General features: G+C 43.7%; 1 annotated feature.

The window, feature by feature from the left end:
* Positions 11946–12132: a silencer, noted in NCBI's record as "fragment chr6:166637642-166637828 (GRCh37/hg19 assembly coordinates)". NCBI's record gives its function as "represses an EF-1alpha promoter that drives an FKBP-Casp9 reporter gene in an ReSE screen in HepG2 liver carcinoma cells {active_cell/tissue: HepG2}" and the evidence as "EXISTENCE:reporter gene assay evidence [ECO:0000049][PMID:32094911]".

The raw sequence follows: 13600 nt of genomic DNA, 5'->3' as shown, positions 1-13600 counted from the left end.
AATGACGAAGGTGACCTCACCTTGTTGTCATCTTCAGAATCATGAGCATAAGATAAATTAAGGCTGTTTAAAGACATAGTCAAACCTAGCGTTCAAGACCTTCTGTCCTGTGGCCATGGAACAACTCTCCCAGCTCCGCTGCGGCGGCTGGTGGGCAGGGGGTGGGGGGGGGGCAGTTCCTCCAACCACCCCTAGGAGTTCCTGCATTTCCCACTCAGTCTCTGCCTCTACTGTCCCCATTCCCATCTCTACCTGCCTAGGTCTCCCCTTCAGCCGCTCTGACCCCACTTCTTCCACACACCCTCCCGGGTGGATCCAGTGGTGAAATCCTTGCTCTTCTCTGAAGTTCCCTCAGACACAACTGAGTCTTTGAACAGGACATGAGCACTGGCTCGGTGGACTTCACCGTTCTCCTTCCACAGCCACCCAGGCTGGCCGTCTGCAGCCAGGCACGCGCCCCTGGGCTCAGCCTGGCAGCTGGGACTCCTCTGTCCCAAGCACCCGTACTTCTTATGGTTGGCCAGGTGAAAGCCCCTCTCACCTCGTCAATCCACATTATTTTACGTTCGTTCAGCTTTCCCTAAGCAGCGTCCTCCCTCTTTCTACCCACACACACTCTTCATCGTCAGCCCTGATCATCAGCTTCTAGATTTAAAACTTCTCAGGGACGAGGATTCTTCAGACTGGATCCCACTCCCGAGATGCGTCACGGTGATGATCACTTGGGTGGAAAGGGGGTTACTGGGACCCCCACCGCTGGTTCCAATGCATGCATTGATCAGCTCCAAGGAGGGAGACGATCTCCTCCCCAACCCCAGTCTGATGCTTTTGTTCACATGACATGTTTTCTGAGCACAGCTCATGCCCAAAGTAGGAGGATGTGGTCACCCTACTGTGCTGGAAACAGGACAAGTTTTCTGACTGTGGTCATTGCATCCGAAAGAGAATGCTCAGTACAGCACCATCTACAGGCGTATTTGTGAGAACGTGTGACTTTCAAAGATAATCGCTGAAAGTTCACTTCCTTTTCATTTTATTTTTTTGTGGGGGAGGGATGTGTCGGGTTAAAAGGTCCATTTCAAGGCCGGGCGCGGTGGCTCACGCCTGTAATCCCAGCACTTTGGGAGGCCGAGGCGGGCGGATCACGAGGTCAGGAGATCGAGACCATCCTGGCTAACACGGTGAAACCCGGTCTCTACTAAAAATACAAAAAAATTAGCTGGGCCTGGTGGCGGGGGCCTGTAGTCCCAGCTACTCAGGAGGCTGAGGCAGGAGAATGGCGTGAACCCGGGAGGCGGAGCTTGCAGTGAGCCGAGACAGCGCCACTGCACTCCAGCCTGGGCGACAGCGAGACCCCGTCTAAAAAAAAAAAAAAAAGGTCCATTTCAGGAAACCTTTTTCCTTTGCCATGAAGAACATTTTGGTGACTTGAGAGAAATGACTTACCTCTCTACGTAATACACTTTTCGTGAGCAATATTAGAACCAATTTATGGGTATTAAAATGGAAGGAATAAAGGCTATATAATGAAGGAAAAACAGGTACCTATTACCATGTCTCAAACTGGTGGGCTCTATGTGTCGAATACTTTATTTTCTTTTGAGAATACTGATTAGGTTATGTATTTTCAACATGGAGAGTGTTTTCACTTACCTTGTGTTTTCGTTTCATCAGTGGCCCTCATACAAGACAGTGAGTGGCTTTAGGCTAGAAATAGATCTTTTTATCTCTCCCTTCCGAAGGCCTGCACAGTCCTAGGCTGAGTTCATAGGAATGAAATAAATATCTAAAGTACAATGGGTGAATGAATGAATGAAGTCCTAACCACCAAACTGGGCTATGAGAACGGCATGTGATAATACGTGGGGCAACGTCTTATAAATGTAAAGTTGTTACTATTATTATTATTATTATTTGAAATGGAGTCTCGCTCTGTCGCCCAGGCTGGAGTGCAGTGGTGCGATCTCGGCTCACTATAACCTCTGCCTCCTGGATTCAAGTGATTCTTCTGCCTCAGCTTCCTGAGAAGCTGGGATTACAGGCATGCACCACCATGCTCAGCTAATTTTTGTATTTTTAGTAGAAATGGGGTTTCACCATGTTGGTCAAGCTGGTCTCGAACTCCTGACCTCATGATCCCCCTGCCTTGGTCCCCCAAAGTGCTGGGATTACAGGTGTGAGTCACTGCGCCTGGTCAGCTGTTACTATTATTAATGACACTGTGGGACCTCTCTGTGGGAACTGCAGATTTATTACTGCATTTCTCAGAGAGGTTAGTGACTGCTCAGACACATTCTCGCTCATTGTGAATGGTCAAAATATTGATTCGATTCAATCAAGACATGAATAGAGAAGTAGGAAAAAATATACTTTTTAAAGCTTATTTACTGCTTACAGGATATTCACAATTATGCCTCAAAGCACTTTACTTTCTTAGCTTTATTGGAAAATATTTAAACTGTGACATGCAATATTTTCAAGTAATTCTGAGTCAGCCAAATGTTGAGTTTTTATCCTGGTTCTCTCAATTATTTGTTGCAAACCTCAGGTAAGTCTATTTCTCCACGTTTCAGTTTTCTCATCCTTAAAATGGGAGCAATAATTCCCACCCCACAGGGTTACTGAAGAGTTCAGCGAATCAAATTAAGTTATATAAAGCTCCTCTCACAAACTTACCACTCATTAAATAGGGTCGCTTCCTTTCTTATATCTTCAAATTATTTCATTTAAAAAAATGATAGCGATGTTAAGTTTGGAATTTCTGGTAGGAATATGAAGTAAAGAAGTGAAAATAATAGAGAACATGACACTGTGTCTCTTCTTATAATTTTGTCGTTCTTCAGAATAAACGCAGTATTCAGATGACACAGCCACTTTCTGTGAGCATTTCACAATTTGAAAAACAGCTTTACATCCCCTGGATCCCGGCACAGTTTTATTCTTTCCTATGGGAGAGGGATGCGAGCTTGGTTGGTGAGCCACAGAGGGATGCCGTCAAGTCAGATCTCATGCAGGGCTTCAGCATCTCAGCGTCTCCTTCCTGGAGTGGCTCGAAGCCCAGCCTCCACGGACAGAAAGCTCTTGCTGAGAGGGAGTTCAGCTGCTTGGCCCGTCAAGGTAGAAGGCACCATTCTCACTTAAGCCTTTTTATTTTAAGTGAAAGAAAGTTACATTCACGCGCCTCAATATTTCTTTTTCCCAAATGGGTTGGAACACTGAAGGAAACCTGTAAACCTCCTTTGTCCTCAAATCCTCCACTCATCTTCTGTGAACCATATCTATTTTGAAGCATGTCTGCCCCGGAACTTTGCAACTGGGCAGAATCCACTGGGCTATAGGAATTTGTCTTCCTAAGTTCTATGCCGAGGGATTGGAAGACATATACTTTGGAAAATGTATAGTTGTAGCTGACAAAATTGCCTGCAATTATGCAGATTTAGAAACAACATGGGTTGTTGTTGCTGTTGTATAACTTTGGTTGGGGGTTTTACGTGCAGTTGCCTAACTGTAGCAGGAAAAATGCACTTAGTCAGATCCTACTGGTCGTGGAGGTAAGTTGTAATATACATCTCCTGCCTGTCTCTGTTGGATCCAGCCAGCTGGGAGATGAGGCTGCGGCCCTGTGTAGTACAAATGGCATTAATGACCTCAAATGGGCACAAGCCAAATGGAGTCATTGGTTTTAGGAACTAACTGTATCCTCTACTTAGATCAAGGATCAAACTTTTATTTTGCCTAGTTCCAAGAAAACATGCTTTTGTTATGTTTACATTGAGCAAACATATAATCAATCCATAAAATGAGGAAAATACAAAATAAATTTTCTGGTGTGATTTTCTTTTTTCAGATTCTCTTATATGCATTAAATAAATCCAGGTTGATTTGTTTTGCCTGAATTTCTCATGATGTATACATTTCCATTCATTCTAAATATGCTTAAAAGTAATGTAGGATGTATGAAGTAAAAATTCTGAAAATTCCAATTTCAGCATATGAGTAGTTTACTGTATCCAAATAAATGATCAAAAGACGAGCATGTAGATTGATCTGTGGACATCAAAGTGGCTGCATTGTTTATTCCTTGTAGAAATTGACATAATATGAAATTTTGCTTAACCATATATTTTATTAGAGTGCACAGGCTTAATTTTATGGTCTAGGATTACAATTTTGCTGATTAAAGCCCTGTCTTCAATTACACCAGAAAACTAGTCTTGTCTCCAAATGAAACAATCGTAATGACTTGACTGCAATTAGAAACCACGATCCTTAAGAATGTGGATGACCCAATATATGTTATTTTAACCGTGTAAAAATATTTGGGTAGGAAGAGGTTAGCATTGGAAAGTGGTCACAGAGAGGTTTCAGAAATCAATAGAGTTTGAATACTGTTGAAATGTGTAATATACCGATTTCTTCATTAAGAAATACACTCCATAATAAATACTAAGCCAGGAATTCTGAAATAAGTTTAAAATTAATTTAAATTAAATAGAGAAGCCCAAAATATCTGACACTCTGCAAACTTGGAGAATAAGAAGAGAAGAATGTGCTGAAGTGTGGCTTTGTTCTAGATGTTCTTATAATCTAGGCAAACATTTCCTGGAAAGGGCTAGAGAGCCATCATTACAGACTTTGAAGGCCACATTCAGTTTCTGTTGTTGATCCTCTTCTTTCTTTCCTTTTTTAACAACTTAAAAAATATAAAAAGTCACAGATTTGGCCACTAGAATGTAGTTTTCAGACCTCTAATCTTTGTGGATATTAGCTTTGTGATTCTCTTTACTGGACTTAAATTATGGGAAAATAAATTGAAACAACTCATGTGTCTTTTAAACTACATTGTGTTTAAAATGTCTTCTGTTTAAACTACACTCTATTTTATGTTTAATCCTTATGTGTCACAATCCTAGCCAATGCCTGACATATGGTAGATTCTCAGAAAATGTTTACCAAATGATAACATTTTAAAGTTTCATCCTTTTTTTTTTTTTTTTTTTTTGAGATGGAGTTTCACTCTGTCACCCAGGCTGGAGTGCAGTGGCACAATCTCGGCTCACTGCAACCTCCACCCTCCGGGTTCAAATGATTCTCCTTCCTCAGCCTCCTGAGTAGCTGGTACTACAGGCGCCTGCCACCGCACCCAGCTAATTTTTTTTGTATTTTTAGTAGAGATGGGGTTTCACCATCTTGGCCAGGCTGATCTTGAACTCCTGACCTCGTGATCCGCCCGCCTCGGCCTCCCAAAGTGCTGGGATTACAGGCGTGAGCCACGACGTCCGGCCTTAAAGTTTCTTCTAATTCTACAGTATTGAAAGGGTTATTTCAATTCCGAATGGTGGTGGTGGTGTGTGTGTGTGTGTGTGTGTGTGTGTGTGTGTGTGTGTTTTCTTTTTTCTTTTTTTTTTTTTTTGAGACGGAGTCTCGCTCTGTCGCCCAGGCCAACTGCAGTGGTGCTATCTCGGCTCACTGCAAGCTCCGCCTCCCGGGTTCACCCCATTCTCCTGCCTCAGCCTCCCGAGTAGCTGGGACTACAGGCGCCCGCCACCACGCCCGGCTAATTTTTTTTTGTATTTTCAGTAGAGACGAGGTTTCACCGTGTTAGCCAGGATGGTCTCGATCTCCTGACCTAGTGATCCGCCCTCGTCGGCCTCCCGAAGTGCTGGGATTATAGGCGTGAGCCACCGCGCCCGGCCGTGTTTTCTATCAATCTTAATAGAAATGTTCTCAGGGGTCACTAAACCCCAACCCCCATCAGTTTTCCGCAGATTTTAAAGTATGGAACCCGATAGAAACAATTATCGAAATTATGACCTCGATAAGCAGTGTTATGTATCATGCAAACATTATAGTAAAGAGCGAAAATAATTGAAGGGTATAAAATAAATTATTGGCTGCTGATTTTTAAAATGTATTTAAGTCCATTTTGTGTTTATTTGTTGGGCATCTCCATTATAAAGTAATACCCTTGAGGGAAAAAACAAAACAAAACAGGACTTTTAATAATTCCTTCATGTTTTTTTCCTTCACTGCCCTCACTCCTACCTCCCCTCCTGCCCCAATGCCGTGAAGCACCCACTACTTGGCACACAGTGGGGCTTCATTAATGTTGCAGGCCTGATTCTCTTGCTCTTCAGACCTGGATGGTCCTTTCCCTCTTCCCTCTTTCTGTCTTTTGCAAAAGGCCACTTCCGCTTGCTTTTCCATTTCTTTAAAGAAGTGTGCGTATTTCTCAATGAGTGTAATTAAAAAAAGACATTTTTAAGATTGCTTTAAGTAAATTGATTTTCTGTTTTTTCCCTTCTAAAATACTGGCACAAAACAAGAAGCCATAATGAGCTGTGATTTGCAACTTTTCATTGCAATCGACTAAGAGGCATTCTATAACTACTGATTTGTTCTATCGCGTGAAGAAAAGAAAAAGGGCAAATGTATCGCATTCTTACTATTAAATGCCAATAGATATCTGACATCTTTGAAAACAAGTCTGATTTTGTATTTCTTTCTCCCAGTTTGAGGAGGAAAAGAACCCGGACTTGTAGATTGTAGAGGTGTTTTGTTCTAGTACTTGCTGCTGTTTAAGGCTTATAAAACAAACAACAAAACACCAAAAACGTGGATTACCAAGTGTCTGGGTTACTTTGGCTTCTCCGCGGTCCTCCTTTGGGGGCCCAAGTCTTGGTGGACTTGTGCTGCAGAGGCCTCAGCTCCCTCAGCAACTGGGTGGGCAGCTACCCCAACGCCCTGGCTGTGGAAAGGGAGGACCCCACAGGGAAGCCCCCACAAGCCTCCCTCCCCCCACCCACACAGCATGGGATGTCAGGGAGACCCTGAAGGGCGTCCTGCCCGCCCCGCCCACACCTGCTCCGGTTCCCGCTGCAGTTTTATGGGCCGTGAGGAGGCAGGTTTGACGCCCAGAACAGCCTCTGCCAACAGCTGCAGACCCGTCAGCTCCCAGACAGTAAAATGTAAAGAGGGGGAGGGAGGGATCACCTTTGAAGTCTGCAAAAAGCATGACTTTGACCACTTCCTTTTTCCTTTTTAAATTGGTGTCCCAGGTATGTTGACAGCAGCTATGGGCCAGCTTTACAAGGAAAGACGCACCTCCTCGGAACACTCAGGTCTGCCGGATTCTCAGCATTTTAATACCAACTCTCCAAGGCTTTCCTGGTTTCAGCGTAACTTTGTGAAGAGAAATGGGTTATTTTAACTGAGGGTGCTACACTTAAGGCCAATACAGATGTGTATCTGTAAATAACACACATACGCAGAGTGCTCTCCATTCAAGTTGAAGGTGAAACTGTACAAAGCCACCACCTCGTGTCCTTCCTGCATCTTCCCCACACATTTTCTCCTTAAATTTTCTTGCTTTTCTCTTAAAGAAATGATAAGGACGTGAAGGGAAGCTGTGGTGTTAACATTTTCCTCTCAATTTCACATCCGAATTTTAATCTCCAATGAATGCTTTTTCTTTCCACTTGGCTTTCAGGGTTTTTCTCTTTTAGTTTAAAAGAAGACTCCAAGATTTTTAGTTATTCTGCCACTTTCACATAGTTTAGCACGAAATGTCCTGGAGGATTGTGTGTGCACCTGATACTGTTCATTCTCCAGGAGATCTTGCTGGATTATGCGGTTTGAGTCTCCAGTTTGAACTATGCACGTGATCAAAGCATGAAAGATTTCCTTCAAACTACACAGCACAAACTACACTGTCCTTATACTTGACAGCTTTGTGATTTCCAAACTTATTTTAACAATGGTCTTGATTTTCTGTTTAATGAAATATAGACAATATAGATCAAATTTAAAATCTCTAATGTCCATTCTAAAATGGGAACTCAGAGCATTCTGAAAGGCCATTTCCAGGCCAGCATAAAGTTGAGAAAGAATCTTATAATCGTCTCTTCAAACGTATTAAAAGAAGCATAAATACTTTATATCTTTCCTTGTAGGGTACAAATTAACCCCAGTAACCAACCCACAGATCCTCATGATATCATTATTGGAGTGTTTGATGGTCTCTGACTACTTAGTAGTAAAATTAACCAATCATCTAACTGCCTGGGACCCGGTTTTCCCACTTGGAAAACAAGGCAATTAGTCTAGATCCCTTCTGCCCAAGGCTGTGGCCACTAGTCACATGTGACTGTAAGTTTAAATTCAATACAGTTAGGTAAAATTAAATTTAATTCCTCAGTCGTACTAGCCACATTTCAAGTGCTCCATAGCCACGTGCAGCTAGTGGCCACTGCATTGGAGAGAGTGGGTAAAGAAAGTCTGGATTGCTGCAGGAATTCCTACTGAATGGCACCGGCAGGTAAAATATGGATTATCCTTCCTGACTGTAAAACAGAACACGGAGGGAACTCCAGGCTACTGGACTCTAGTCCCAAGTCATTCTTACGATACTCCTAACAATAGTTATTCATAGCAATAGCTATGAAAGACAGGGACATTCATTACTTAAATATGTAAGGAGCACTTGTGGTGTGAAAGCAGTTGTATGATAGGCTGGGAACAGTACAAGACATCGTGCCCGTGGGCTAGGTGCTTACAGCCTGACTGAGGAGGAGACTAGCAAACTCAGAACACAGGACCAGATAAGGAAAGAGCCATGCAGGGGATGCTGGGGATCCTAGCATGGGGTGGGGTGCAGGGATGGCCTCCCAATGGAATGCCGATTCTTGTGCCAGGTAAAACCTTATGGAAATTATTCTGTAAGAGCATAATGAGATGAAAATTTAGAACTAGAATTGCCGATACACCTGCCAATATACCCTTGTAACTGCAGAGTTGAAGAGTAAGGTATCTTCTAAAGGTTTTAAGGATGCAAGAAAACCCACAAAACTCTAATCAGCAGACCCAAACTCAATGGAAAAACCTTGGCTCTTCGTGAAAAACTTGTTGGATGAATGCATGATCATAGATTTAGCTTTAAACATGTTTACATGAAAGGCTTCCAGAATCAATCAATTTCTAATATTAACTGCCTACTAGCCAAGCCAGATGGCTCTATAAATTGTGCTGTTATAATTTGGACCATGAATCTATAGGTTCCCTCTACTTAATCAACCAAAATCGAAGAGTACTATTTAAGATGTGAAGTCCACATCTAGAAGAGCAACCAGGATGGATTTGCCCTATCAGATACTGTGGTACTGCCACGGAGATCATGTGAACCAAACAGAAAGCACAAAACAAGACCCAAATGGACTTGGGAATGTAGAGTGTGATCCAGAGGAGCTGGGAAAGAGCAGACCCCAAGTGGACTGCCTGCAGTAGATTCTATTACATGATTACTTCCACTACCCCACAACCCGGGCTGAGCAGAGATTGCTTCTCAAGCTTTTTCAGTTCTCTCATCTCCACTCAATTTGTTGGTGGTCTGTTAGGTGACTTACCTTTATCACTTTTTCCTAAAACAGCGTGGTGTTTTGGTTTATTTTTAAGGAATAACCCCCTTCCACAGTCATATTTTACCGGATTATATAAATATTGTATTACAATCTGAAATTACGATTACAAATATACTTGGCTTTAGCTGGGATCATCAGGGACGACCCCCAGTGAGTGTCAATTTGGAGGATGCTGAGCCACAGAGCCACATGCAAGGCACAGGTCCTGCAGCTTAGCCTGCCTGGGCACTTATCTGTCTATTTCAAGGGGAGTCCTGGGAGTCCTGAGGGCCAGTGTGGCTTAGGTGAGAAACACAGCCTGCAGAGCGAGAGGAGCCCCTGGGGGCTGGGAGGTGGTCAGGGAGCATAGTCCCCCTTACTGTTTCGGCATGTGCTCTGCAAGGCTCAGAGGACAAGGTTGGGGAGGATTAGACATGGTGCTATAAAGGGAATATCATGCAAGCTGTCACCTGGGAATGATCCCTTCCTTCACCCTCTCCTCACTCCCTGATCCACTCCTGCACTTGTTGCTAATCTCCCCAACAGCCAATAGCTTTGGGTGCTTGGGCATCTGTCCCTCCCCATCCTCACTAGGTGGGGGGCAGCCCTCATCCTTCACCATGCGGACCTCTCCTGGCCTCACTGCCTCCCTTCTTTGTCTTCTTATATTAGTTTTTTGTTAGGGTAATAATTTCTTCTTCTTCTTCTTCTTCTTCTTATACTTTAAGTTCTAGGGTACATATGCACAAAGGGCAGGTTTGTTACATATGTATACATGTGCCATGTTGGTGTGCTGCACCCATTAACTCTTCATTTACATCAGGTATATCTCCTAATGCTATCCCTCCCGCCTCCCCCACCCCATGACAGGCCCATGTGTGTGATGTTCCCCATCCTGTGTCCACGTGTTCTCATTGTTCAATTCCTACCTATGAGTGAGAAGATGCGGTGTTTGGTTTTCTGTCCTTGGGATAGTTTGCTCAGAATGATGGTTTCCAGCTTCATCCATGTCCCTACAAAGGACATGAACTCATCCTTTTTTGTGGCTGCATAGTATTCCATGTGAATATGTGCCACATTTTCTTAATCCAGTCTATCACTGATGGACATTTGGGTTGGTTCCAAGTCTTTGCTATTGTGAATAGTGCCACAGTAAACATATGTGTGCATGTGTCTTTACAGCAGCATGATTTATAATCCTTTGGGTATACACCCAGTAATGGGATGGCTGGGTCAAATGGTATTTCTAGTTCTAGATCCTTGAGGAATCATCACACTGTCTTCCACAATGGTTGAACTAGTTTACAGTCCTACCAACTGTGTAAAAGTGTTCCTATTTCTCCACATCCTCTCCAGCACCTGTCGTTTCCTGACTTTTTAATGATTGCCATTCTAACTGGTGTGAGACGGTATCTCACTGTGGTTTTGATTTGCATTTCTCCGATGACCAGTGATGATGAGCATTTTTTCATGTGTCTGTTGGCTGCATACATGTCTTCTTTTGAGAAGTGTCTGTTCATATACTTTGCCCACTTTTTGATGGGGTTGTTTGATTTTTTCTTGTAAATTTGTTTAAGTTCTTTGTAGATTCTGGATATTAGCCCTTTGTCAGGTGGGTAGATTGTAAAATTTTTCTCCCATTCTGTAGGTTGCCTATTCATTCTGATGGTACTTTCTTTTGCTGTGCAGAAGCTCTTTAGTTTAATTAGATTCCATTTGTCTATTTTGGCTTTCATTGCCATTGCTTTTGGTGTTTTAGTCATGAAGTCCTTGCCCATGCCTGTGTCCTGAATGGTATTGCCTAGGTTTTCTTCTAGAGTTTTTATGGTTTTAGGTCTAACATTTAAGTCTTTAATCCATCTTGAATTAATTTTTGTATAAGGTGTAAGGAAGGGATCCAGTTTCAGCTTTCTATATATGGCTAGCCAGTTTTCCCAGCACCATTTATTAAATAGGGAATCCTTTCCCCATTTCTTGTTTTTGTCAGGTTTGTCAAAGATCAGATGGTTGTAGATATGTGGCATTATTTCTGAGGGCTCTGTTCTGACCCATTGGTCTATATCTCTGTTTTGGTACCAGTACCATGCTGTTTTGGTTACTGTAGCCTTGTAGTACAGGTTGAAGCCAGGTAATGTGATGCCTCCAGCTTTGTTCTTTTGGCTTAGGGTTGTCTTGGCAATGCAGGCTCTTTTTTGGTTCCATATGAACTTTAAAGTAGTTTTTTCCAATTCTGTGAAGAAAGTCATTGGTAGCTTGATAGGGGTAGCACTGAATCTATAAATTACCTTGGGCAGTATGGCCATTTTCATGATGTTGATTCTTCCTATGCATGAGCATGGAATGTTCTTCCATTTGTTTGTGTGCTCTCTTATTTGGTTGAGCGGTGGTCTGTAGTTCTCCTTGAAGAGATCCTTCACATCCCTGGTAAGTTGGATTCCTAGGTATTTTATTCTCTCTTATTTGGTTGAGCGGTGGTCTGTAGTCCTCCTTGAAGAGCTCCTTCACATCTGTTAGGGTAATAGTTTCAAAGCACATCTATGCTCATGTCAGCGTCCTTCTCAAGACATTTTAGTGTCTTCCGAGTGCTCTGAAGATAAAGACCAGAACCCTGAGTGTGACCGACACGTCTACCCAGTGTGGTCTGCCTCTGCCGTGTCCCAGCTCTTATCTCAGGGGCCCTGCCCCCTCTCATAAAGAGACCCCTGCACCTCCTCCCCGCCCGGACTCTTCCCAGACTCCCTCCTCCGTCTTGCACCCAGCGAACCCCTCCGCATTGTGCAGAGGCTGGCTCAAGCCTTATACTCCTGGAGAAGCATTTTCTACCTCCTGATAAATGTTGAATCTCCCTTGTATTATAGGTTCTCAGGGATGAGGTAAGTCCCTTTCCCCTGTAGCACTTGCCCAGTTGTAGCTGCAGATGTATTTCTGTGGTCACTGGATCAACATCTGTCTCCCTGGTGGTGAATTGTGGGCTCTGCCAAGGTGGGAATCCTGCCTGGCAGTGCTCCCTACAGGCCCACGTGGCTGGCACAGTCTGAGAGGAGGCTCAAGAAATAGTTTATGGAATGAATAAATGTGATCGAGCCATCTAACACACAGCCTGACACGTAAGACTGGCCATCAATGTGCATGTTTCCATATTTCTTTCCTTTTTCCTATTCTTTTCATTGATCAAATGGGATCACACTGTTTGTTGAGTGAAATTTTTCAGCTTTGGGCCAACGGCCTTTGATGTGGAAAGGAAATGCTGTGTCTTCCACCTTGAAAATGGTTTCTACACACGGAAGTGAGTAGATCTGAGAAAATATTCCAGCAGACACCAGATAGTGAGTTCTCTACACAGAAGGTTCAACATTCAGGATCTTCTAAATTGGTGGTGAGTCGACTGCTCTCCATAAGCCTTAATCCTTGGTAACAAAATGTCACAGCTTCAGATCATACCAAATTGCAGGGTATTTTTAATTATATTAGGCGTTTTTCTCCCCTGTGGAGAGCGTGCAGGAGAGCCAGGCTCTCTTTGATCCCTGGGGGTGGGGTGGGGGTGGGGGGGGTGTGTCCCTGCTGGAACAGCAGGAGGCACTGGGCTGGGGCTGCTCTCTTCACCCCTGCTCCTCCCCACTTATCTGTTGGTTTGTGGTTTGATTAAGGAAACCGACTTGAAAGGGCCAGGCACTGGGTCACCAAGTCAGCTGTGTCCACTAGGAGGAAAAACATACTTTAAAGAAACAAAATGTTTAAGTGATTCACTGGTTAATTTGAATCAGCAGTTACTATCAGAGCTGGGACTTTGTGCTGGTATGTTCCAGGGCTTTGCAAGCATTTTCTGAAAAACGCCGGATTGTATACATTTGAGGTTTGGCTGGGGTTGGGGGGTAGGGACATATCTTGCTGCTTCTTTATGGTCTCCCTGACCCTGACTCCCATCTGCCTTGTAGATGTCACTAGAACCTCTCGTAACTCATCACCTTTCCCCCGCAGCACCTTGCACACCACCAGGAGACGGATCTTCCTGTAACATTGCCTGACAGTCTACGCCCACTCAAAGGCCACCCGTTTCCTGTTGGGCAAGGTCAAGTCCTGGGATGGGACATTCACATTCGCCCTCTCTGCTCAGCCTTTCCAGCTGGCGGTCTCTTCCCCATCTTTGGACTAGGGCACTTGTATTTTAGGCTTTCATGATCTCTTCCCCCATCGCGTATCCTTTC

This window comes from Homo sapiens, chromosome 6, assembly GCF_000001405.40.
Source record: "Homo sapiens chromosome 6, GRCh38.p14 Primary Assembly".
In the NCBI taxonomy this organism is placed as follows: domain Eukaryota; kingdom Metazoa; phylum Chordata; class Mammalia; order Primates; family Hominidae; genus Homo; species Homo sapiens.
Note: the sequence above shows the minus strand (reverse complement) of the source record. Positions and strands in the feature narration are given on the sequence as shown.